Genomic DNA, 26,870 nt, shown 5'->3' with positions numbered 1-26,870 from the left:
CTGGATATGGATGGGAGGAAAACGAAGGGAGGCAGGGAGAGGGGTGGAGGAAAGAGGGAAGGGCCAAGGGGCTCTCCAGCAGACAGGGAGGCCTAGTGGCCTCAGGGTGCAGGGACGGGGTGGGCCCAGCAGGTGGGGGGCGCTGGGGACATGCAGGAGTTCCCGGATGTGCTTCTCACTTCAGCTGGGCTGCCCAGGACCTTCTCTGGGCTTCAAGCCTCTGAGGCCTCCCATGCGTCATTGCAGGGAGCTCAAAGCACAGAGGCTCACTCTGCTTCCCCGTGTGATTTTGGTTTCTTTCTAGAAAAGATACTTAGGCATGGGAAGAAATGCACATCTGATCAACATAAAGAACCTCATGTGAGTCCCCACACACCACAAACATCAATAGCTGAAGAACCCTGGTGTCAAACAAAATGAATGAACACCCAGGAGCTCACACCTACTGGGGTTTCTCAGGGTTTCTCTTGAGCAGGTGCAGAGAGGGCTCGCAGGGCAGGTTGAAGCTCTTGTGACTGACCAGTCCTCCTGCCCCACACTCAACCAGCTTCATTCCCTGTTGCCCTCCTCCTCCCTTTCTGCCCAACTTCTGCACTCCCCAGCCCACTCCATTTTTGACTTAATGACGTTGCAGTTCCCATCAGCCCCATATTTGGCTCTCTGCAAAGAGAAACAAAAATAATTCATCGTGCCAAAATTTGAAATTTGGGAGCTGCAGCTCATCTGATTACAAATGAGTACCTTTGTGCTTAAATTGCCACCACAAAGTGCAGACTATGACCAACATGCCAGGGAACAGAGCAGGACAGATCCACCCTGGGACTGGGGCTCAGCTGCCCCTTCTCTGTGGCCCCCTGACCCCCTAAACCGCAGACTGGTTTTCATTGCACACGTAGACTGTGCTTGGCTGGATTCTCCTTCGGATCCGCTCAGGCACTTTGGGGAGGATTTGGAAGGTCTGGGGCAGCAACTCTATGCAGGCCTCGCGGAATTTTTTGATTCTCCAGCAGTAGACGATGGGGTTGAAGACGGACTTGAGGTAACTGAGCCACAGGACGCAGGTGCTGGTGGCGTAGAAGGAGGAACCGCAGTAAAAGCGCTGGCTAAACACAGACAGGAGGCTGTAGACGGAGTGGGGCAGCCAGCAGAGGGAGAAGCCCACGAAGAGGATCAGGATGGTGGTGAAGGCCTTGGTCTTGAAGCTCAAGTCCACGCTGACCTGTTGCTGCCGCTGCAGGCGCCGCAGGCCCGCCCTGGTGAGCTGCCGCAGGTCCAGGCTGTCCGACTGGTTGTGCACGCGCACGGCGTTCTTGCGGACCGTGTTGAGGATGCACATGTAGGCGCACAGCATGACGCCAAAGGGCGCGAAGAACACGGCCACCACCAAGGTGACCACGTAGGCGCGGTCAGCGGGGAGCTCCGTGTAGCCCAGCACGCACTGTGGGGCCCGCGCCGGCACCTCCACCAGCGTCCAGCCCGTGAGCGAGGGCCCCGCGATGCAGAAGGACAGCACCCAGGAGACCGCGATGATCACCTTGGCCCTGCGCGGGTTCAGCTTGTCCTGGCGCTGGACGATGATGAGGAAGCGGTCCACGCTGATGATGAGCAGGATGGCCACGCCCTCCAGGACAAAAAACCAGTAGAGCGTGGCTGAGAGGCGGCAGAAGTGGTCCCCAAAGTGCCAGCGCACGGTGATGAGGGTGACGGCGGTGAAGGGCATGCAGCAGAGGGACAGCATGATGTCGGAGAAGGCCAGGGTGGCCAGCAGCAGGTTGATGGCCGAGCGCATAGCCGGCCTCTGGTACACGATGATGCAGACCACAGTGTTGCCCAGGAACCCCACCACGGTCATCAGCAGCATCACTATGGCCAAGGAGATCCTGAGGGGTGCGGGCAACTGGGTGGACCCCGAGTCTGAGGCGTTGCTGGTGTTCAGCAGCAGGTATGTGTAAGCCTCAAGGGACGTGCTGTTGCAGGCCATCGTGGAGAGACCCTTGGAGCTGGGACAGAAATGGCCGGGAGGGCTCCCCTCAGCACTTGGGTGGCTGCCATTCTTTGTCTGCTGGCTGCATCTTCCTGGATGTCTGTGGACCTCTGGGGCACTGGAATGGTCTTGGGGAGAAATGTCCGTCTTTGTGAGCACTAGCTGGGATTTGCGATTCATGGATCACATCCTAAGCATCTCTGTGGAGAGCGACTCTGTGCACAGCTTCGTGCTTGGACCCTCTGTAGTGGACAGCAAGCAAAAGTACAAAAGAGAAGGGGGTTAGAGTTTCCAAACGCGTTGAAGAAAGCACGCGTTTAAGCTTTACAGGTGTTTCTAAACAAGTTTATTTACCACGTGGGACAAAGCTTGATATTCACAAATACTGTCTGAGTCTTGTCAAGCAGCCCAGAAAAACCTAATCAGCTATCTTCTGAGGAAACTGAGGAAGTACACTTTGTAGTTAGTGTTTATGTAATAACTTGAGTTTTCAGCAACCTGTCGGAATGAAGCCTTGGTCTAGCCAACTAACGTTAGAATCCTGCTCCACAAGAGAAAGGTTTTGCTTGTTTCATTCTCTGCTATCTCCCAGTACTGACAACAGTGGCTGGCATGCAGTAAGTGTCCTTGTTGAGGACACTTGGATGCTTGTTGAGTAGATGAATAAGTGATAGTTGATGCTGCTGCTATAATATTTGTTTAGCTTTAAAAAACCCCACTTCATCGAGGAATGACTGACATGTCAAAAGCTGTACAAATTTACATCTCAATATACCAGAAACCCATCACCACCAAGGCCAAAAACATATCCCACTCCCCCTGCCAAAGCTCTCTCCTGCCATTTTTCTAGTATTATCATTTTGTTTTGGTGGTAAGAATACTTCACCTAAGATCTGCCCTCTTAGCAAATTTTAAGTATACATTTTTAAGTTTTAATTTTTTAAAAGAAATTGTAAGTCTGTTTGTTTAACTTTATTTGATAAGTGTAAATTCACATGGATAAGTGTAAATTCACATGGAGTTATAATAATAAATACTATGGTGAAATTCTGTGTGTCCTTCACCCAGTTTTCCCTAATGGTAACATCTTGGATAACTGTGGGGCTGCTATACTATTACTTCTGGAAGCACAGACTGGGAGAAGGGAACTTTCCCCAAAGGTAAGGCCTTTTAAAATACAATGTTAGCTGGGTGCAGTGGCTCATGCCTATAATCCCAGCACTTTGAGAGGCAGAGACAGGAGGATTGCTTGAGGCCAGGAGTTCAAGACCTGCCTGGGCAACATAGAGAGATCCCATCTCTACACACACAAAAAAATGAGCCAGGCTTCCATCTATAGTCCCTGCTACTCAGGAGGCCGAGGCAGGAGGATTGCTCAAGCACAGAAGTTCGAGGCTGTCGTGAGCTAAGAAGGTGTCACTGTACTCCAGCCTGGGTAACAGAGTGAGACCCTGTCTCTTAAAAAAAAAGTAAATGAAATGAGCTTTTATTCCTTACATTCTTGATAAACTTGCTTTCACTTTCAAAAAGATAAATATAATTTTAATTTTGTCTCACTGATGTGGCAAGAGTGTGTTCAGTAGCTCAGGTCTGAAGTCACATCGCCTGGGCTGGGGGAAATCCAGCCTGCGCCATTTATCCACCCTGGACATCTGGCTGTTGGATGCACCTCTTCTTGTAAGAAATTTCTCTTTTCTAAATTCCTTGTGGTCATTGTTACAGATAACTCACACTGAGAGGAATGTGGGCAATGTAAGAAGCCAGGAGGCCTCAGAGCAGGCTTAGAGGACCTGGGAGTGGCAGTGTCTTGGTGATGCTATACTTCAGTTTAGACCCAACCAATCCTTGGTCTTCCTTCCCAAACACACCCAGAATGGGTTCATCTCTCAGTGGTGGGCACCAGTATCCAAACTTTTTCTGAGCTATAAAAATCAGAAACCTGGTGTGTTAATTTATAAGTGGGAATTATCTCTCATTCAGACCAAAATTATGACCCTTCTTCATCTCAATTTTCTGATCTGTGAAATGGAGGTAATTACATATTTACCTCCAGAGTTGGTAAATATAATGTGCAATGTCTGGTAAAAGAAGGGCATTAATAAATTAACTCCATCTCCCTCACTGTTTCAAGTTTAGGGGTTTCTGTCTCTTGGATTAAACTGCAAATTTGTTCATGGCAGGAACCATGACATGCATGTAGGAAGCCCTAATGGATTAAGCTCCTCTTGGAGCACAGAATAAAGGACCACTGAGAAAAAACACAGTATCGTGCATCCATGTGCCTGTCAATCTTAGCCGATAGTGAATCCTTCATCTGCATTCCTCTCCATGCTATAAACTTAGATTTTCCCCACAATGATAGTTACAGAGAGTGATTTCATGCTTAATTAAAGGAACAAATAGTGCAAGGTATTTTTTTTAATGTATATGTCTTGTGGTTGAATCTGATTAAAATTCTTTTGGCTTCTGGACAACAACCTGTCTTAGGTATTTTAATTTAGCATTTTGGTCACAGTCCTGTTGTTAATATCTGAATCAACAGTGCTTTTATTACAAGGGACTAGGGCACTAAGATCTAAGTAAAAGGTAACAAGTGAACAAGAAATATTCTGCTGGTGTTCTTGGAGTAACAGCACTCACCGTCTCCAGCGACTTTCACGATGAGAAATGGGTGCCACAATATGAATTTAAAGCTGTGAAAGAAGCGAGCTGGGAACTGAACCGTTTCAAGGTATTTGTTTTAGTTCCTTTCCAAATGATCTCACCCTGGAACTGGGAGGCTGTGCAAGTGTCAGGAGGTAAATCTTCATCTCTGACTGAAGTGTGATTAATCAACTAAGGAAAGTGTGACCAGGCTGTGTGCTGCTGTGTGCCATGGTGTGGCTAGCTGTGCTCTGGCAGAGGCTTCAGTGAGCTGTGTCCACGCAAAAGATAGAAGGCGCTTTCAGCAAAGCGGACACGAGGCCACCCATGCATTGTGTTTACTGCAAGGTTTTCTAAAGCCTTCCCTCTGCATCCTCACGCCTGGCAAGAAGGCAGGGAAATTATGAAAGGGAAGCTCAGATACAGTCACGACAAGCCCCAGTTCAGCAAAGTAGTGACCAGTGGAGCCGAGACTGGAAGCTGAGACTCCAACAGAAAGATGGTTCTGTGGTGAGGACGGTGGCTTGGGGAGGATGACTTCACGTCTGTGACACTGACAAGCATAGGGAAAAGAAAAACCATCCTCCCACCCCCAAGCTACACCAGTTGAGGTACAGACAAATTTCAAACAAAATCCCACTCTGTTCTCCTTTCCCAGTAGATAAAGAATGGGCTTCTAAAAACTGACCTTCAGCGGGGCGCGGTGGCTCACGCCTGTAATCCCAACATGTTGGGAGGCCGAGGCAGGCGGATCACGAGGTCAGGAGATCGAGACCATCCTGGCTAACATGGTGAAACCCCGCCTGTACTAAAAATACAAAAAATTAGCCAGCCGTGGTGGCCGGCGCCTGTAGTCCCAGCTACTCGGGAGGCTGAGGCAGGAGAATGGCGTGAACCTGGGAGGCGGAGCTTGCAGTGAGCCGAGATCGCGCCACCGCACTCCAGCCTGGGCGACGGAGCGAGACTCCGTCTCAAAAAAAAAAAAAAAAAAAAAAAAAAAAAAAAAAAAAGAACTTAGTGAGGATGAGGGAAAGAACCTTTGTCTTTGCTCTCCAAATAGGACAACTCTATGTGCGACCACCAGGGGGCGCGCTGGGGCAGCCTCGGGAGGCTAGGAAGTATCAGTGTCTGGCCTGCCAAAGCCTTTCTTCCTCCCTCCCTCCCTCCCTTCCTGCCTCCCTCCCTCCATTCCTGCCTCCCTCCCTTCCTTCCTTCCTTCCTTCCTTTTTTCCTTCCTTACTTCTCTCTTTTTTCCTTCCTTCTTTTTCTCTCTCATTTCTTTCTTTTATCTTTCTTTGTTCTCTTCCCCTTTTTCTTTTGCCAACTTTAAAAGTCTTTTTATTATGTTAAATTTCAAACATGCAAAAAGAGATAACATAGTATAGCAAAGCACCACTTGGCTACGCTTTTGAGCTGTGTTCCCTCCGTTTCCTTCCATTTAAGCTGGCACTTCCTGGTCCACATACACCTCCCGTCCAGGCTTTTGTTTCCAGTGCAGTAGGGAGATCCTGCCAGGTTTTCTTGGGGAGAGGAGGCCAGGCTGTGAGTGGCCTCGTGAGACAGACATGAGAGGGGAAAATGCGGCCCAGGAGAGCTTTGAGGGACTGGGGGACACAGCGGAGGTCCCTGCAGCGGCGCCAGGGCAGCTCTCCAGGACTCTACCGTCCTCCTAAGGCCTGGTCAAGCGGGGATTCGAGTGGCCTTCTGCTCGCAAACTTGGCGTTTCAGGTAGCAACTCTCATCTTCGGCTGGGAATATGTTTGGCTTTAAGTGGTCAGGAAGGAGAAGGTAAGAAATGCCTGTCTCCCTTTCCCATCCTCAAGATCAGGCGTGAAGACGATCCTGTCTCCCTTTCCCATCCTCAAGATCAGGCGTGAAGACGATCCGCCGGACCCTGATTGAAGCGGGGAGGGATAATGCCTTGCGAGGGGACAAAGGCGGGCAGAACCAGAGAGACCTGCGGAGGCACAGTCGGGGCAGCCCCGTGGCAGGGAGCCGAGCAGCAGCGGCGATTGCCACGTGGAGGAGGTAGACTTCCTGGCAACCGGTCGGTGAGCCCCGCGCGACCTTCAGCAAGAGCGCACGCCTCTCCTTCCTCCCAGCGCTGAAACTGAATGGTCGAAAGGCACTGCGTGGCGACGGCGGAATGGATTATTGTGTCTGAGGTCCCGTCCCGTCCAGAAAGCCTGCAGCATCACTGTTAGGTGTTCAGGAAAATAACGGAATCTTCCCCACCTTCAAATCCCACATGCTATCGTATCCTCCCCAGCAACTCCACTTGCCCCCTGTGACACTGCCCCTGTACCTCCAGCAAAAGCTGCCCTGGGCTCGTCCTTGTTCCCACGTGGCTTCGTCTGTCGGAGCATCCATTCCTATTGGCCCCTTCCCCAGCTCTGCGTCGAAAGGTGTTGCGTGCATCCCGGTGCCTCTGCACCTGGACCCTGTGGGATCGAGGCTGCGCCCAGGTGCGTTCCTGGTGTAAGGCTGCCAACCCCTGATCCGCGAAGGAAGCGCTCATATGCGCAGTGGGAGTAGGCGCAGTTCTTTTGGAACTGTTTTTCACAAACATTAAGAAAAAAGTCAGGTACACACTACACACAGGTACATCTACATTTTAATTATCAGATTTTGAATTATATATATATATATGCATTTACATATATATGTACATCTGATAGAATTTGCTTTCTCTCTGCTGGTTCTATTTCAGCCAAATGGTGGGAAATTTGTTGGGCTCTTTCTCCATAGTCTTTAATATTGCTGCAGGTAAAACCAATTGGTTTTGTGATATTGGATTTTTAATCCCTGCTCCAGAAGAACATATTGGTTCAAAAATGTCAAATCTAAGAAATGAAGTCAATTTTGGCAGACGGGGAAGCTAGGAACAGCCCTTTGCTGTGGGAACAGCTTGACTCTGTCATTACCTGCAACCTTGTCACCTGTCTTTTTGATACAAACTCTCAAACAGATGGTATATTTCAATTTCAATAACTTTATTGGCGATGAAAAAATATGCAAGAGCTGCCAAAAGTAATACATCAAGTAGCTGTGTTTAGAAACAGGTGTCGTGCCACGTGTCTTAACTTCAAAGAAAAGTGAGCTGAAAGGAACCAGATTTTTTATTCCTCGACTTGAACAAGATTCTTGGGGAGAAATTTTCAAGTAGAACACAACTGGGAAGTCTTTTAATGAGGCAAATCTTCATTGCCTATTCTTCTTAGTAATGGCTAACATTTCTCGTGTGCTGATAGCATGCCAGGCTAAGCCCCTTACATAGCTCAGTGGTCAGGAAGCTCGGCCCCTGCGTCTTCGGCATCCGCATCGCCTAGGAACTTGAGAAAGGAAAATTCTCAGGGCCACTCCAGACCCACTGAATTAGAAACCCTGGGACGCCAGGGGGCGCAAACTGCATTTTAATAAGTCATCCAGGGTAAACGTTCTCAGTTGTAGGAACTACTGACATGGTTTCTCTCAATTAACCCTCACATTGACTCCTCTTTACAGATGAAGAACTGGATGCACAGTTATTTACCTAGAAAGTATAGTAGTAGGGCCCTGCATTAGAATCAGACAGTCTGACTCCAGGGCCCATGCCTTAACCCCTAGGCTATGCAGAGAGAGGCCACTCAGATAATGATGTAACTAGCAGTTCCTATCAGACTTTTATATCAGGAATGAGTCAGCATTGGGAGCCACAGGAAGGATGTCTTTCAGCAGGAAAGGTAAGATGTGAAGGCCGTGGGTGCAGGGCGTGTGTGTGGGACTGTCACAGGGCTACGGGTGTCTTGGCAGGCACTCAGGACACAGGATGCCCTTGGGCCTGTAGGACCGTGTGTGCATCTGATGCGGGAGCTTTTGCAGATGCTTCTCAAGCAAATGTGGATGAGATCTATTTGTCTCCTCAAATGTAAAATCTGCTGGCTGTCAAGAGTGTAGGATTTAACGCCAGATCCATGGGAGATGCAGGGTGGCTGTGAGGATTCAGACACTGTCTCATCTCTTTGTTCAATCCTTGGTGCTTCCCCACCCTTCTAAAGTCAAGACTCGTATAGAAAATGTTATTTGTAGGGCACACTAGAGAGACCGACCGCAGGCCTGTGCTGCTGCTGGCAGGGCTAAGAGGTTACTGCCTCAGACACCCCAGCAACCCATTCATAGCTCCAGAGCCTTGCATACCAGCTGGTGGCTGGGAGACTCTAATCTTAGAGTCCAGCTTGAAGATTTCAGGCCTTTACATATCCCCAATCTAATGATGACTGAAATGTTGCTCTGACCAAAGAAACAGTGATAGGTAGTATTAGAATAAGACTTTAAATATACAAAGTGCATCTAAAATGTGCTTTTACTTCTTTCTCACAGCCACTGGGATGATACGTGACTATTCCCATTTACAGATGAGGAAACTCAATCAATGCAATGAGATGATTTGCTTAAGCAGATACAAATGGAAGAATGGAAAATCGAGTCATATCTTCTCTTTTACTCTTTGACTCTTCCCTCCTTCCCTCTGTCCTGGGCAAGCCCCATGTTAGTGGTACCCACTCAGTGTACGTGAGGGTTTCATAGTGTGGACAAATTTATTTCTACAGATTCAGATAGATTATGGCTCAGACTGACTGCCTATGCTTGCTCTGGTTATGAGAAAGAACAACTGATTATTTAAGAACTTCTGAAAAGTCCAAAATAACCCACAGGATGGCCATAAAATACTCATTTTTTAAGTATCTTTGTGCTACCACCTTTCTTTAGAGCAGGGGTTCTTAAATCCTGGGACCACAGACCAGTACCTTTCCCTGGCCTGTTAGGAACCAGGCCACACAGGAGGAGGTGAGTGGAGGGCGAGCGAAGCTTCATCTGTATTTACAGTTGCTCCGCGTCGCTCACATTACCACCTGAGCACCGCCTCTGGCCAGATCAGCAGCATTATTCGATTCTCATAGGAGTGGAACCCTATTGTGAATTGTGCACGTGAGGGATCTAGGTTGCGCACTCCTTATGTGAATCTAATGCCCGATGATCTAATGCCTGATGATCTGCTGAGATGGAACAGTTTCATCCCAAAACCATCCGCTCCTGGTCCTGTGGAAAAATTGCCTCCCAACAAACGGATCCCTGGTGCCAAAAGGTGGGGGACCACTGCTTTAGAGGAGGCCAAAGCGTATAATTCACTTAGGGTCACCAGCTTCCAAATTAATCCTCGAGAATGTTGTTTGTGCATTTTACTATTAAAAGCCAACTTATTCACTTCCTTTCTTAACTAATTTAGAGGTGTTACATCTAAGGTAGGATTTTAAAAGTCCCCAAACCATGTAGGAAGATTTTGCTAGAGGCACAAAGCATATGGCACTTGTTTAAAAATGGAGCTTTATATTTTAACAGAATCTGAGACAATTAGCACTTTTTCAAGATGCTAAAAAATAATACCTGCCAATTTGTGTTTCTCCAGGTAGAGCATGTGACATCTCAAGTAGCCTATACCCAGGGGCTCCCGGGACAGGTGCGGCTTACACAGGAGAAAAACCCAGTACTGACACATCAGATTTCACAGGGCTGCTTTATAAAACCTGTTTCCTTCTCCAAAATTACATCTGCAGGGCCCTCTACTACATTTTCACCTGACTTTCTCAAAAACTAATTTTAAACTTATTTGCGCATTTTTTTCTGACATTTTATGCCCTAATTCTAAACAAACAAACAAAATCCCTAAGCCTGGTAAAAAATATACTTTTTCATTTGTAATGTAAAGAAAACAGACACAGCTTACTTACTCTAGTAAAATTATTTTTGATATTTGAATTTTTTCTTTTTTTTTTTTTGAGACGGAATCTCGCTCTTGTCACCCAGGCTGGAGTGCAGTAGTGTGATCTCGGCTCACTGCAACCTTCACCTCCCAGGTTCAAGCTATTCTGCTGCTTCAGCCTCATGAGTAGCTGGGATTACAGGAGCCTGCCACCACGCCCGGCTAATTTTTGTCCTGTTAGTAGGGATGGGGTTTCACCATGTTGGCCAGGCTGGTCTCGAACTCCTTACCTCAGGGGATCCGCCTGGCTCAGCCTCCCAAAGTGCTGAGATTACAGGCGGGAGCCACTGCACCTGGCCGATATTTGAATGTTTTTAACAGCTTCATTGAGATCTAGTTTATGTATCATGACATTTGCCCACTGCACGTGGACAATTAAATGATTTTTAGCCAATTTAAAATGTTGCACAACTATCACCACAATCTGCTTTGAGGACATTTTCATCACCTCCAAAAAGATCCTTCATGTCTGTTTGTGGTCAGCTGATTGTACTTTTTATAATTGCTCCAATTTATTTTTGAAAAAAGTGTTCTTAATGTAACCCAAGAACTTGACAATTCCGGTTTTTTTTTTGTTTGTTTGTTTTTTTGGGGACAGAGTCTAGCTCTGTTGCCTAGGCTCAAGTGCAGTGGCGAGATGTAGGCTCACTGCAACCTCCACCTCGCGGGTTCAAGCGATTCTTGTGCCTTAGCCTCCTGAGTAGCTGGGATTACAGGTGCCCGCCACCAAGCCTGGCTACTTTTTGTATTTTTAGTAGAGACTGGGTTTCACCATGTTGGCCAGGCTGGTCTTCAACTCCTGATCTCAGGTGATCCGCCTGCCTTGGCCTCCCAAATTGCTGGGATTGAAGGAGTGAGCCACAGCCTCACCTCCAGCCATAACTTGATAAGTCTAATTGACAGCCGGGTAACTCTAGCAGCACCTCTGCCCTTCCTACCCAGGCCCATGACATGTGGAGGAGCAAGGTTAGAACAACATTTAAATCACTGAGCCCTTGTGCCCTGTCCCATGTTAATATCCATGATCTGAATTAGGAAGTATTAGTGGGGCAGGAGGTGGGACAAGCTAAACTTATTTGCCCATGTAAAGCCACCAAAGTACCAACCAAGATAAAGGCATGATGAACCAATGAGATACAGGAGGAAAGAGGCCCTCCGTAATAAAGTCCTAGTCAAGGCTCGGACTCAGAAGATCGAAATTATAGTCCTGGTTCTGCCTTATAGCCTGGGAAAAATTCCCAACTGTTCAGTTTCTTCTTTTGTAAAATGATATGAGGGTACCTACCTCACAGGGTTGTTGTGAAGATTCAATACGTAGAAAAGCACGCTGCATATCACAAAACACTAGACAGGGGTAGGGAAGGGTCTTGTGCTTTTTGTGGTGGTTGTTTTTGGGGTGGGGGTGGGGAGGACAAAGTCTCGCTCTGTCACCCAGGCTGGAATGCAGTGGTGTGATCTCGGCTCACCGCCACCTCTGCCTCTCAAGTTCAAGGGATTCTTGTGTCTCAGCCTTCTGAGTAGCTGGGACTACAGGCGCACATCACCACGGCCAGCTAATTTTTGTATTTTTAGTAGAGACGGGGTTCCTGCCATGTTGGCCAGGCTGGTCTCGAACTCCTGACCTCAAGTGATCCATCTGCCTCAGCCTCCCAAAGTGCTGGGATTACAGGCATGAGCCACCATGCCCAGCCTGGGAAGGGTCTTTATTGGGACAGTTGGTAAGTTCTGTCCCAAGCACACAGCATGCCAGCTTTTGGGGGCTGTCTGAACCAACTGTAGATATGTGGGTCCCCTGGGGTGGAGTCCTGAGTTCTTCCTGAATGTTTTGCTTCATAATAAAGTCAACTTTAAATGTTTTAAATGTATGGTGTTTAATGCTTTGTACAACTTTTCATGGTCTCATTATCTGAGCTGTTTTACTCCCATGAGGTCACACAGCATTGCATAGTGAGGCTGAAGCTTGTCACCTGGGTTATCCTTTTGAAATTTCTCCAAGCTGGACTTTTGCCATTCTTCCCTAACAGCAGGTTAGAGCTCTCCAGCTGGCAGAAAGCACATATCCAGAATCCCAAGGAGTGCCAGACCCTTCCTTCCCCAGTACGGTCGGCAAACTTAGCACACTATGCCATTTTCCTTTTCTGTCACGTCAAAAAAAAAAAAAAAAACTTGGATGTAAAATCCTCCTAACTTTCTAAGACACTGGACAAGAAATTAATGTATTAATTTGTTCAGTTAATATTTCCTGAGTAGTGTTACCATGGGGCAGGCAGGAGGGAGTCAATGGTGAGCTCTGCCTTTTAGAGCTTTATAATCTGATTTGCTTTTCTCCAGATGTGATCTGCAGATAGCTGCATAGAGATGACACGGGCTGCTTATTGAGAGGGCAGATTCTGGGGCCCCATGGCAGACTCACTGGATTAAAATACCCGGTTAAGGGGCCAGGACTCTGGTCTCAGAGGCCTCTTAATGCCCCAACCTTCGAGACTGCCAGCGGATGGTAACAGCACAGAGAAGTGAAAGAGGCTGATCTCTGCTGCCTTGTGATGCAAAGAGAATTTATCATCTACAATTAAGAATTGTGGGCCAGGCACCATGGCTCACACCTGTAATCCCAGCACTTTGGGAGGCCGAGGTGGGAGGATTGCTTAAGGCCAGGAGTTGAAGACCAGCCTGGGCAACACAGCGAGAGAAAAAAATAATAAATAAATAAATAAATAAATAAATAAATAAATAGATAAATAAATAAATAAAAGAATTGTGTCAGACTCCTGATGAAACGAGAAGCTATAAAAGATTGTGTCTTATACGGTTGTGCTGGGTAGTTGGCGGGGGTGTCATATGAACCTGCCTGCGCTGAGATCTACGTGCCTAGTTAGTTCTACTTCCCACCCCATTGCTTTTTTTTTTTTAATAATTGTTTTTGGAGCAGCTTTAGGTTCACGGCAAGATGGAGAGAAAGTACAGAAATTTCCCATCCATCCACTGCCCCACATATACACAGCCTCTTCCATTATCAACATCTCCCACCAGAGTGGTCCATTTGTTACAGCCATGAACCTGCACTGACACATCATAATCACCCTTGGTTCACTCTTCGTGTTGTATGTTCTTTGAGTTTTGACAAATGTATAATTTCCAGGGTTGTAGTGTCACAGAGAATAGTTTTACTGTCTTTAACCACCCCCATGCTCTGCCTGTTCATCCCTCCCTACTCCTCAATCCTTGGCACCTAACTGATCTATTCCTGTCTTCATAGATTTGCCTCATCCAGAATGTCATATACAGTCAGCCCTGTAGCTCTGAGCACCACAACTGTGGATTCAACCAACTTCAGATTGAAAATATTGGGGAAAAAAATTGCTTCTGTACTGAATATGTTTGGGTATTTTTTCCTTGTCATTATTCCTTAAACAATACACTACAGCAACTATTTACACAGCATTTACATTATATTAGGTATTATAAATAACCTAGAGATGATTTAAAGTATGTGGGAGGATGTGGTTAGGTTATATGCAAATACTATGCCATTTTATGTCACAGAATTGAGCATCCAAAGATTTTTGGTATCTGAAGGAATTTTTGGAACCAATCCACCATGGATATTGAGGAAAAGACTGTAGTTGGAATCATATTGTATGTAGCCTTTTCAGACTGGCTTCTTTCACTTAGTAATACGCATTTAAGTTTCCTCCATGTCTTTTCATGGCTTGATATCACTGAATAATATTCCATTGTCTATAGAGGGACCACAATTTATTTATCCATTCACCTACTGAAGGGTAGTGTTATGGTTTGAATGTTTGTGTCCCTCCAGAATTCATACATTGAAATTCTGATGCCCAAGGTAATGATATTAGGAGGTAGAGTCTTTGAGAAGTGATTAGGCTAGGAGGTAGAGGACTCATGAACGGGATTAGTGTCCTTTTCAAAGAGGCCCAAAAGGGATCCCTTGCCTCTTCCTTCATGTAAAGACACAGTGAAGGTGCCATTCTATGAACAGGGAAAAAGGCCCTCACCAGATGCTGAATCCGCTGACACCTTGATCTTGAACCTCCCAGTTGCCAGAAGAGCAAGAAATAAATTTCTGTTGTTTATAAGCTACCCAGTCTGTGGTATTTTGTTACAGCAATCTGAACAGACTAAGACAGAAATCATGGTTGCTTCTAAGTTTTGGGGATTATGAACAAAGCTGCTATAAACCTCCATATGCAAGATTTTGTGTGGACCTAAGTTTTCAACTCCTTTGGGTAAGTACCAAGGAGTGTGATTGCTGGATACTATAAGAGTATGTTTAGCTTTGTAAGAGACTGCCAAACTATCTTCCAAAGTGGCTATACCATTTTGCATTACCACCAATAATGAATGAGAGTTTCTGTTGTTCTACATCCATCTCAGCATTTGGCGTCGTCAATGTTCTGGAGTTTGGCCATTCTAATCGGTGTTTAGTAGTATCTCATTGTTGTTTTAATTTGCAATTCCCTAATGACATAGGCTTTTGGACCATCTTTTCATATGTTTGTTTGCCATTAGTCTATCCTCTTCCATGTCTTTTGCCCATGTTTTTGATCAGATGTTTCATTTTTATTGTTGAATTTTAAGAGCTTTTTACATATTTTGGATAACAGTCCTTTATCAGATATGTCTTTTGCAAATATTTTTCTCCCAGTCTGTGGGTTGTCTTTTCATTCTCCTCATTATGTCTTTGTGGAGCAAAAATTTTTAATTTTAATGGAGTCTGGAGTCCCTCTTATCAATTCTTTCTTTCATAGATCATGCCTTTGGTGTTGTATCTAAAACAAATCTCCAATCTCCATATATCTTCTAGGAATTTTATAGTTTTACATTTTACACTGTGATTTATTTTAAGTTAATTTTTGTGAAGGACATAGGTCTGTGTCTAGATTCATTTCTCTTGCACATGGATGTCCAGTTGTCCCAGCACCATTTGTTGAAAAGACTCTCTTTGTCTTGTTTCCATTGTATTATTGCCTTTGCTCTTTTGTAAAAGATCAGTGGACTCCACCCTCACTTTTTAAGTATCCATCATTTTAAATAGAAAGTGCTCACATTAGGCTGAGGGAGAGGGTGATATTTGCATGTTTGCTAGCAAAGGGAAGAGGATATTAGCCATGGAGTCCCTCCATCCTTCTTGACTATCCAGATACATCCCAGAGAGAGTGGTATGCTTAATGCATTACTAATTAAGTGGTTATCTAAGTTACCCAGAAGCCACCCTTGTGATAATGTTTGCTGCTCAAAAGGTTAACATTGGAAGGCTCCTTTGGAAACCCCAATCCAGGAAGACCTGTGCTCTGAGAGGAGGCACTGCAGAATGGTTAGTACTGGGGCTTCGGAGTTGGTTCTTACAACCTGCATGACTGGAGGGAAGCCCTTTAGCCCTCTCAATTAATTTTCCTGACATATAAAATATAGACAATAATATTCATTACCCAGGGTTGGTGTAAGAAATACATAATGCACTCTGCACAGTGCTTAATACAGTGACTGTTATTATTACTGAAATTGTTACTAAGATATTATTTCCTCTTCCTCCATCCCATTGCTCTCTTTCTCCTCCCCACAATTCCAGGCTCTGTCATCCCTAAAGACTTGATGTTATTAATCTATTATTAATCTATTAGGCCATGAGGGGGCTGCTTCATCTTGTAGCATCTACTGATCTGGCTTGAGTGAGGCCCAATGAATGCTAGCCTCTTTGGCTGGAATCTACCTAGGGTTACCATAACAGATTACCACAAGCTTAAGGAGCCTAAAACAACACAAATTTATTCTCTTACAGTTCTGGCGGGTGAAAGTTCAAAACCAAGGTGTCGGCAGGGCCACACTCTCTCTGAAGGCTCTAGGGGAGCATCCTTTCTTGCCTTTGCCAGCTCCTGGTGGCTCCTGGCAATCCCTGGCACTCGGCTTGTAGCCGCATCCCACCCATCTCTGCCTCTGCCTTCACCTGGCATTCTTCTGTGTCTCTGCCCCTCCTTTCCTTTTCTTGTAAGGGCACCAGTCATTGCATTTAGGTTGCACCCTAATCCAGTATGACTTCATCTTAGCTTGGTTACATTTGTAAAGACCCTATTTCCAAATAAGGTCATATTCTGAGGTTCCTGGTAGATGTGAATTTTGGTGGGGACAATACCCAACCCAGTGCAGGGCCATTTAGGTTCAGCACAGCAGGTTTTAAATATCAATAAGAACAAGTTGGTCTGTTCTGCTCCCAGATCCCATCCCCAGAGGCCCCTTCTAGACAGGGGTAGCATGGAGGGACCAGCTGAAGTCCGGATATCATCTTTACCCAAACCAGAACTCCAAGACCATTCAAAAACTCCCCCAGTGACTGACTGTGCAAACTGATTTGGGAAAAAAACCCTTCTGGACTTATTATATATTGTTTGTTTCTCTTTTCAAAGAACTGTTTCTGAAGCTGTCCTTGAAATAAATAACACAAAACAGTGCCCTTGAATCTATGAATTGAAAAGAGCCCAAATGGATAAAACAAACCTAATTTTGGCAACAGAGAATTCATAATAATACAGAAGAAGGTATTTAAAAGTTCCCTGGGCTGGGCGTGGTGGCTCACGCCTATAATCCCAGCACTTTAGGAGGCCGAGGCAAGTGGATCACCTGAGGTCGGGAGTTTAAGACCAGCCTGACCAATATGGTGAAACCCCGTCTCTACTAAAAATACAAAAATTAGCCGGGCATGGTGGCGTGTGCCTGTAGTCCCAGCTACTCTACTCAGGAGGCTGAAACAGGAGTATCGCTTGAACCCAGGAGGCGGGGATTGCAGTGAGCCGAGATCGCTCCACTCTACTCCAGCCTGGGCGATGGAGCAAGACTCCATCTCAAAAAATAAATAATAATAATAATAATAATAATAAAAGCTCTCTGACTTAGAATATTACTATTTGGAGAAAATTACTCTTAATTAAGAGAAAAGTGATATTTTAGTTTTCATTTCCTAAAAAAAGTTCTTCTTTCCTTTCAGCCTTTCTCTCTGTCTCTCTCCCCCTCCTCTCTGTCCATTCTTTTACAACCTCAGGAGTTAATGGCAGTACATTAGTTTGCTTGAAAGATTAAAAAACTTAGAAAAAATTAATACGAAACAATATTTTTCCTACAACTTTTTACAGAATATTTATATTTATTGGTTTGTTTGTTTGTTGAGACAGGATCTGGCTCTGTTGCCCAGACTGGAGTGCAGTGGTGCAATCTGGGCTCACTGCAACCTCACCTCCTGGGCTCAAGCAATCCTCGCACCTCAGTGTCCTGAGTAGCTGGGACTACAGGGCACATGCCACCACACCCAGCTAATTTTTGTGGGGTGTTTTTTTTTTTTTTTTTTATAGAGGAGCAGGTTTTGTCACGTTGCCCAGGCTGGTCTTGAACGCCTGAGCTCAAGCGATCTGCCTGCCTTGGCCTCCCAAATTGCTGGGATTACAGGTGTGAGCCACTGCTCCTGGCCAAGAAAATTTATTATAATAAAATGAATATGGGCTTTGGAGTCTAGCCATGACTTGAGGTAGATTCGACAGCCAAACTTTTGAAGGCTATTTTAATTCTGACTGATGTGACTGTAGTTGAAAGGAATAATGAAAAACATTTACATCAAGAAGGAGAGGGGCACATGGCCTGCATCTGAGGCCGTATTTCCTCTGTATGTGTGAAGGTGGATAATCACCGCAGTCCCCTGACCACCTCCCCGGTGTGTCCTCACTAGGTATGGAAACCGCGGGGCCAGGTTGGTGTATTTTTCATCTTGAGAATGGGAGTGGGGTTTTTCGAATGTTTCCAAGAGTTCCATCATGTGGAGGTACCCTGCTGGCTCCTTCAATTTCCCGGTCAGGCCTTTCTTCTCCACTGGCCACAGATGATCAGGGGGAGGTCCGAAAGCTGACTGTGTACACAAAAGAGCCCTTCTCAGTTGAAGCAAAGCAATCGTACTTTACTGTCCTTTAAGTTTTTCTACTTTAATGCACCTCATTTTCTTGTTACAAAATTCCAAAATACTATGAAATGCAAAAAAGAGAAAGGAAAGAAGAGCAAATAAACTTTTAGAACTAGATCAGTCTTCAGGATATGTTTTGAAATACATAGTTGCCCCATTTGAGACCCAAGCTTCTGTATTCTTCACAACTACTGATAAACATTTCTTCACCTATTTTACATGATGATCTTCTCAGTGCAATATTTTCTATTTTATAAAGTTGTTAGCAAAACATTGATCTCTTGTAGGTACTTGATTCAGTAAGGAAGAAAGCAGAAAGCACGTCACAGAATGGGGAAAACGTGGAAAAAACTGGGTGCTTCTCAGCAGAGCAGATTCCCACCAGAATAGCACTTTGGGGGTGAGCCTTAGGAAATGCACCCCCAGCACCCACCTGAGTGATTCTGCAATGCCCCATGACAGAGAACCCCTGGGCTGCGTCATTGCCACAGTTCCCTTTGTTTAGCTTATTTTCAGTCTGTGTGGACGCAGCACATCTGAGAAACAACAGCCTGAGTGATGGGAAAACAGCAGCACGAGGAGGAGGAGGGTTTTGGGAATGAGGTATTTTTTCCTAAGGAGGAGTGAAAAGGGGGGTTAAATCCAGCGTCAGCTGCACTTTGGAATTATCAGGAACCCTAAAGCTGCCTGGCGCTTGTGCCTCTCCCTGGAGTGGCATAACTGGTGGGAGGCGAGGCCAGGGCATTCGGATCTTTATATCCCTTCTAGCAATTCCTCTGGACAGCCAGGGGTGAGAACCTGTGACACAGGATATCATGCGGTGAAGGGCGAAGCCTTGGAAGAAAAGAGCGGACTTAGCAGTTACGGAGAGAGGAGATTCAGGGCAGTGGGGAGGGGCTAGAGAGAGCATCTTAGCTTGATGTTCTGACATTTGAGGCTTTACTGGTCCTAGAAGGAGTGCCCTTCCCAGGGCTAGCCAATTCTTAGCGATAGCAAACACAGGATGCACCCATGGGTGTGCCTTTCTTTTTCTTTATTTTTTCTTTTTCTTTTTTTCTTGTTTTTGAGACGGAGTTTCGCTCTTGTTGCCCAGGCTGGAATGTAATGGCACAATCTTGGATCACTGCAACGTCGGCCTCCCGGGCTCAAGGATTCTTCTTCCTCAGCCTTCCGAGTAGCTGGGATTACTGGCGCGCACCACCACGCCCAGCTATTTTTTTTTTTTGTATTTTGAGTAAAGACAGGATTTCACCATGTTGACCAGGCTGGTCTCCAACTCCTGACCTCAGGTGATCCACCCGCCTCGTCCTCCCAAAGTGCTGGGATTACAGGCGTGAGCCACCGCGCCCGGCCGGTGTGCCTTTCATCTGCCAACCAAACAATCCAGCGCCCACACTCCAAGCACCTCCGCTGTAGGGCTCTCACGCTCCCGGCCACTATCCTCTGCCCCAATCACTCCAGGGCAGATACCAGACAACCTAGGGCGTATGCGCCCGAGCTCACAGAAATTCAAACTAGCCTATCCTTGGCCTGCCTCGCCTTTCTCAAGGAAACCACAATGAAGGCTCCTGCCATGTTTTGCCCCTTCCCCGCTTCCCCGGATTGGCCCTGGTGCTCTCCCGTGTGGCCCTGTGTGGCGTGGCATGCCCCCTTGTTTTGGGAACTGTGAACAATAAACTCTTTTCAATGGCAGTCATTCCCTGATCTGTCAGCCTCACCATACCTGAATAATAATAAAACCTGCATTTTAAAACAGGGAGATGTAAGCCGAGGTGGAAGAGGAGACGTCAAAAAGTAAAGTATTTTTGAAAGGTGGAGGGTGTGGGTGGGAGAAATGCAGCAGGCTGGCTAGGCGCAGAGGGTCAAGGGAAGGTTTTGTGTTTTCTAAAGTCATAATACCTGTTTCACAGGGATATCGAAGACTTGGATTTACATTTACATTAAACAAAAAACAAACAAACAAAAAAAACACAACAAGACTTCATTAAAAGAGATCTTACCCTGCCAGGAATGTGTTCACCCTGCCACCCGGCTGTGGTTTCCATGGGCTGCATGGGGCAGGGACGTGGAAGAGGAGAGTCTGAGACAAGGGCAGGGGCCCAGCTCACTGTGCGGGAGCTTTGGAAATGATAACCAGAAAGCATAAAGCGTACCCTTGCCTTGACCCACCAAGATTAATGAGAATATTGTGGTGTAAGCACATTATTTCCTGAACAAAAGTTTTTTTTTAACTTAAAAAAACTGTGGTAAAAGGCATATAAGATAAAATTTAGTGCATTACCCACCTGTAAGTGTACAGTCCAGTAGTAAGTACATCCACACTGGTGCGCAAACAATCTCCAGAGCTTTTTCATCTTGCAAAACAGAAATTGTACCCATTAAACTCGAATTCCCTATTCTGCCCTCCTCCAGCCCCTAGTAACCACCAGTCTACTTTGTTTCCATGAATTTGACTACTCTAAGTCTCTCATATAAGCACATTCTTTTCTCTTAGCACATATTTATATTCTGGTAGCAGAGGGCTGGGAGGGGGAAGGGAAGCATAAGAGGAGGGAGGACACATGATGGTAAATCTGAATGAAGCTGATGATGGTATTAGCCACGGTTTGCTGAGAGCCTCATCTAGGCCAAATATTAGCATAATAGACTGTCAAATTTTAACTTTTACCACAAACCCAGAGGTAGGGGTTATTTCTACTTAGAGATTGCATAGCTCGTCTGCCCAGGATGGCAGGGTGGCTATGGGGCAGTCCTTGAAGGTCTAACTCTAATACTGTTCCATCCTTTCATTCCTGGGCTGGGGTGGGGGCCGGAGGGACATCTAGAATGTGACAGTGCCTCTCTGCCCTGGCGTACTGTCATGGTGCAGCATAGCTATTCAGGAGGCATCTGCCTGAATCTTTGAGGGGTGGGATCTGGTGTGGGTGTCTGCTGTAGAGTACAGCCACCAACCTGTCTTGGGGCACATGGAGCCAAGGGCCGGAGCTAGAGAAATGCCTGCTTATGCTCAGTCAAGTTCTTGTTCAGGAGAAACTATGTAAATAGGAAGTTACATTTCAAAGAAATCCCATCAGACCAATAGTAATTACTGCTTGTAAATCAATTGTCAGTTATCGTGTTCAATAAATATGGTTCCTCCAAGCATCTGAAACAATTTGTTCATAATTGTTTAATTTACAAAACAAATATCATTTCTTTGTCACCTTAAATGAATTGACTTAGAAATTCCATTCTAGGAATTGGTTCTAGGAAAACAATTATTGACATTTACAAAGATTTAGCTACAGGGATGCTTTATGCCTATAAAAGAGAGAAGTTGCAAACTCATTCAAAATTCAATGACAGCAAGTTGGTTAGGAGGAGAGGTGATATAGCACTTAGGATAAATGTTAACTCTGCTCTTTGTGAGTCTTTATGAACCTGGGCCAGTTCCTTACCCTTGGTCCCTCATCTGAAAATGGGCATCTTGAGATTCCCTTTCTCAGCGTTATGGGGAAGAGCCCTGCGGTGGCTAGAATATGGTAAGCACTAGGTACAGGCTAGATTTTTAATCCTTCTGCCTGGCCATATAATGTCTAAAACAAAATTGTCTTAGGCACCAGAAACCACACTGTAGGCAAATATTCAATGGCATGGAAAGATGTTCATGAATAAACAAGTACAAAATGAAGGTTCAAGAAGAGCTTGTAGAGCTTGACCCATTTATACGTGTGCGAGTGTTAAAAACAAGATTGGAAGTAAGTGTGCATGTGCAATGGTTGTCTTGGGCTGACCCCGTTGATCTCCTTGCCTCTCACCTCCCCCTCCTGAAGTCCCTCATCAGCACAGCAGCCAGGGTGCTCCCGGTCAGATGCAAATCAGATCAAGTCACTCTTGTGCATCAGTTTTTCCATTGGCCCCAAACTCATTTGGAAATGGGAGGGAAAGCCAAAGTTATTACTTACAAATCTAGAAAGCTTTCTATGCTCTTTCCCTCAGCTCCACCTTTCCTCTCTGACCCCCATATTCTCTCCTTCCCCCACCCCCCACTCTGCTCCTCCACACTGATTTCCTTGCTGCGCCTCCAACATATGGGGCATGTTCCAGCCTCAGGACCATTGCATGTGCCCTTCCCTCTGCCCAGAATATTCTTCCTCCAGCTCTCCACATGTCTCCTTCCCCCACTGCCTGCAAGTCTTATTTCAGAAGTCACCTTTCAGTGCGTCCTTCCCCGTTCATCATAGTGACCATGTTAACAACCAACCCACTGCTATTTCATGCCCCTGTCCTCTTCTTAGCGCTTATTACTAACATGCATGATAGACAGGGATTCCTGTTGGTTCTGTTCACTATTGTGTCTCCAGCACCTTTAAAAGTCTCTGGAGCAGAGTGGCCACTAAGTAAACGTTTACGAGATGGATGAATTATTTTACTTTCTTCCATTGCTAACTTATATGTTCTAAGATTTCTGCAGTTAACATATTTTGCTAATAAGGAAAAGGCCAATTGAAAAAGCGAGTAGCGTTTTATCTATATGTTTCTACTTTATGCCATTTCTGTTTTAACTCAAGATACTTGGATGTGATGGGCAGGAATGGAAAACAGAGACAGTGAGATGAAGGGAGAGAGAGGGAGACAGACAGAACCTGCTATTTCAGGCCGCATCCTGGATAGCAGCCAAGTCCTTTGCCAAATTTGGGGGCTGGAATTTAATACTACTGCTTATCAAGGAAGCCAACTTACTCATTGAAACCTAGGGCTAGAATATTTCAAAACCAGCTGCTCCAATTTCTAGTAATTTCCAACATATTTTAATTGTTCAGGTTTCTAATAACATCAAACACATGTTTTCTCCAGCATGAGGAACACATTCAGTTCAAAAACAGCCAAGATGGAAAACACTGGAAGTACATGGCCAAGCCACAGGAGTGAACCAGCCCCCAGGTTAGCAATTTGCATGTGGCTTCCCCCATATTCAGCCAGGAGAAGAGGTTTATTTGCCATAATGGAGGCTCAGGTCAGGTTTCTTGAGACACTCTTTAACAATCAGGTCAAACACAAGCCTGTTCTGTGTTAACCTCCTCTGAGTAATATTATCCGAGGCCTGGAGTGCATTGCAGATGATGACTTGATTCTTACTCGGATTCAAAGATCACTCTGGAGAAGGACTGTGAGTGTCCCAAGTCTGTCCTTGCTTTTCTCACATACCCTCTCTAGGATACCTCCTCTATTCTAAGTTCTGGAATGCTGCTCAGCCCAATTCCACACACCAAACCCAGCTCCCTCTCTTGAGTACCAAAATCCATGGGACATCGGCTCTTGGATATTTCATACCCAATCTGCCCAACATGGAACTCAGTACCTTCACCCTCACAGGGGGCTCTCCCCACGCTCTGTATCTCAACAGACAGCCTATTTTCCTTGCAATTTCCAAAGCAGAATCCTGGAGTTACACTTGACTTCTCCCTCCTCTCACCTCATGGTTCCAGCCAACCATCTATTCTCTGTTTTAGGAATCTCAAAAATCGATCCACTTTTTTCCATCAATGCTTGCGTTTGGGGTGTGCTCCTCTCTCAACTGGATCACAGCAACCAGCAGGCCCCAGGGTGGCCCTCCTGACATCCACCACAATCCACCCTCTGCAGCGGCCACAATCCACCCTCTGCAGTGTCATGCCACCAAGGAAGCTAAACCACATCACTCCCCGGTTTAAAACCCATCAACGGCTCCCTCCTAACCTTGGGATAAAGTCCAGACTCCCTTCCATGACTTACAAAGGTGTATGCAGAGTCATTAGAAGGTTGTAAAATCAATAACCAGCACTTAAAAAGTAGAATAGAATAGAAATACTGTAGAGTGGTTTGTGCATGATGAGGGCCAGTGTTGTTTGTGACTGTTGATTCATGCCTGGGTGTGTGCCCTGGGTGTAATTGTAAGATGTATTATTATTATTATTTTTTACCCTGGATTGCAGTCAAGACAAGTTTGAAAAATACTAGTAGACAAGACCTTTTGGGATCTGGCCCAACTCTCCAGGATCCTCTTTTACTTCTCCTGCTTTGCGATATTCTCTGGTCACAATGCAGAATCTGCAGTATCTAGACATGTGCAGTATCTCAAACATACAGCTCCCACTACCTCCAGCCCTTTGTGCATGATGTTCTCTTTTCTTGCAGTTCCTTGCTTGCCCTTCATCTACTGAGCCCTGCCACAGTCTTCCTTGAGCCCCAGGCAGGGATGGGTCACCTGCCCTATGTCACACTTACACTGTTGTGCATCCCCTGATTTGTGTCCATCTTTTCAGGGCAGGAATCATGTCTATCTTTTCACCTGTGTACCCAGCACATTGCAGAGGGGCCAACATATCAGAGGTAATCAACAACCTTGTGTTGGATGAACAAACAAATAAGCCTATTCATTAACTCAAGAGTAGTTCACCGAGGATTTCTTGAGCCTCTCTGATGTGCTAGACCCTGTGGACACATAGAAATAAATGAGACTGCATTCCTGACTCAGATTCAAAGAGAATATGTCCCTGACCTCTGCTGCAGAGTGGCTTCTCCCCCAGAGAATGGCTCTCAGGCGAGTTCATGAGCAAAGCATGCTACGGGGCGATGCCTCCTAGAGGATAAAGGAAGGTTCTTTTGTGCTCCCACAAATAGAAATTAAACAAAACCTCCCCTAGCCACATGACTTTACCCAAAATTTCATTACTAGATATGAACCCCCTGGTTCATGCAGAACTGTAACGTTTTGGGGCGATGAGAAGTGTCATTCCTTGGGCCTCAGCCAGAAATAAAGACTTTGCCAAGCTCCCCTACTGCCCCGGGGAGAAGGAATACATAATCAACCTCAGTTATTCACACCTCATGATGGATAACTTTATTAATCTGTTCTGAAATAAAGTGATGTTGGGCAGAAGTGGAGAAGCTGGAGAGTTCCAGCTCCTGAGACCAGGCATCTCACAGAGAAGGAGAGGGTTAGAGGAACTAGAAGGACACGCTCCACTTCTGCCAGAGGGCTTTGGGATCAGCCAACCTGAGTCCTGATCTTGCCCTGGCCCTGCCTGCTAGGGTAGCTGTGGCCAAGGCACCTAAACTTTCAGAATCAGTTTACTTACCTGTAAGAGGGGAGGAAATATCTATGCCCAAGCTTGTTGGAAGGATGAAAACAAAATTTGGAGGCTAACTCTCCATGTGGGCTTTCCATACAGAGTGCCCACGGTTATGAGGGCAGCTGGGTCAACATTCAAAATGGTCATGAGTGAGAAAATGTGAGCTCTTAAAATAGAGAGGGAGACCCTGGGTGAGGCTGGGAAACAGGCTCAGGCAACTGTCACACACCCTGGAGCAAAGAGTGGGTCACAGACCAGTTCTAAGAATGAAAAGTACCATGGCCCATGATTAAGGAAGTAAAGAGGGACTTTTGCAAACCATTAAGCCACAAGGCACTTTTTGCATTAGTTTCATTTGATCTTTCCTTTACATATGTTATGAGCTTCTGTGTCCGGCAAACCCACCACCAGCAATGGAAAGCTTTCCGCAGTGACCACGTCAATTTGAGGAAATAGTTAAAGGAGTGAATATGCCTGCCCATTATCCCTTCGGGCCTTGCAGTCCTTCTGCGTATCTGATGTGAACATGCCTCGGGAGCATCCCAGGATGGCGTGTTCTCTATTTCCTGACCTGCTGGAAGACAGGCAGGAAATGAGAAGGTAGGTGAGGCCAGCTGGGCCCAGGGAAATGGAATACCCAATGTCTTTGTTCAAAATAACTTCCACTGATACCTTTGAGAAGCTAATATAAACCATGCGAGGGTGTCTTTGTGTTCCCGCAAATATTTAAGATAAAACATGCACAAAACAGTCATTGGACTTTGAAGGAAAGGTGGTTTGTGTTCCCCAGAGAAATTCTAAAGTCAGATTTTCATGGAGTTTCTATAAGAAATTTGTAAAAATGAGGAAAATGACAGGCCCACTTGGCTCTTCCCACGTTGGGGTGCAGCATAGTGAAAAGCGGAGTGCACTTTACAGGCAGGACTAGCTGGAGGCTCACCAAGGTGGATGTGTTGGTAAGTTTATGTGTCAGCTTGGCTAGGCCATAATACCTACTGAGTCCAACATCAATCAGGATGTTGCTGTGAAGGTATATTTTGGATGAGATGAACATTTAATGCAGTAAACTTCAAGTAAAACAGATGTCCCTCCATAATGTGAGGGGATCTCATCCAGTCAGTGGGAAGGAAAAAGACTGAGGTGCCCTGAGAAAGAGAGAATTCTGCTTTTTCAGATTGCCTTACACTTAGCCGTAACATCCACCCTTCCTGGGAGCTCCAGGCCGCTGGCCTGCCCTCCAGATTTCAGACTTACAGCCTGTACAATTTCACAAGCCAGTTCCTTAAAATAAATGTATCTCTTTATATACTCACATCCCATTGGTCCTGTTTCCCTGGAGAACCTTGACTAATAATACAGGGCTGAATACCACACTCCTACTCCAGG

General features: G+C 45.8%; 1 protein-coding gene across 1 annotated transcript; it reads right to left on the bottom strand.

Moving 5' to 3' along the window:
• Positions 1–372: 372 nt before the first annotated feature.
• Positions 373–2,097, bottom strand: GPR45 (G protein-coupled receptor 45). The gene has a single exon (NM_007227.3). It carries the CDS (start codon positions 1,979–1,981, stop codon positions 863–865), a length of 1,119 nt encoding a protein of 372 aa, NP_009158.3. The 5' UTR covers positions 1,982–2,097; the 3' UTR covers positions 373–862.
• Between the last annotated feature and the right edge of the window lie 24,773 nt (positions 2,098–26,870).

Source organism: Homo sapiens, chromosome 2, assembly GCF_000001405.40.
Source record: "Homo sapiens chromosome 2, GRCh38.p14 Primary Assembly".
Taxonomy (NCBI): Eukaryota; Metazoa; Chordata; class Mammalia; order Primates; family Hominidae; genus Homo; species Homo sapiens.
This window is presented reverse-complemented; position numbering and strand designations above follow the sequence as displayed.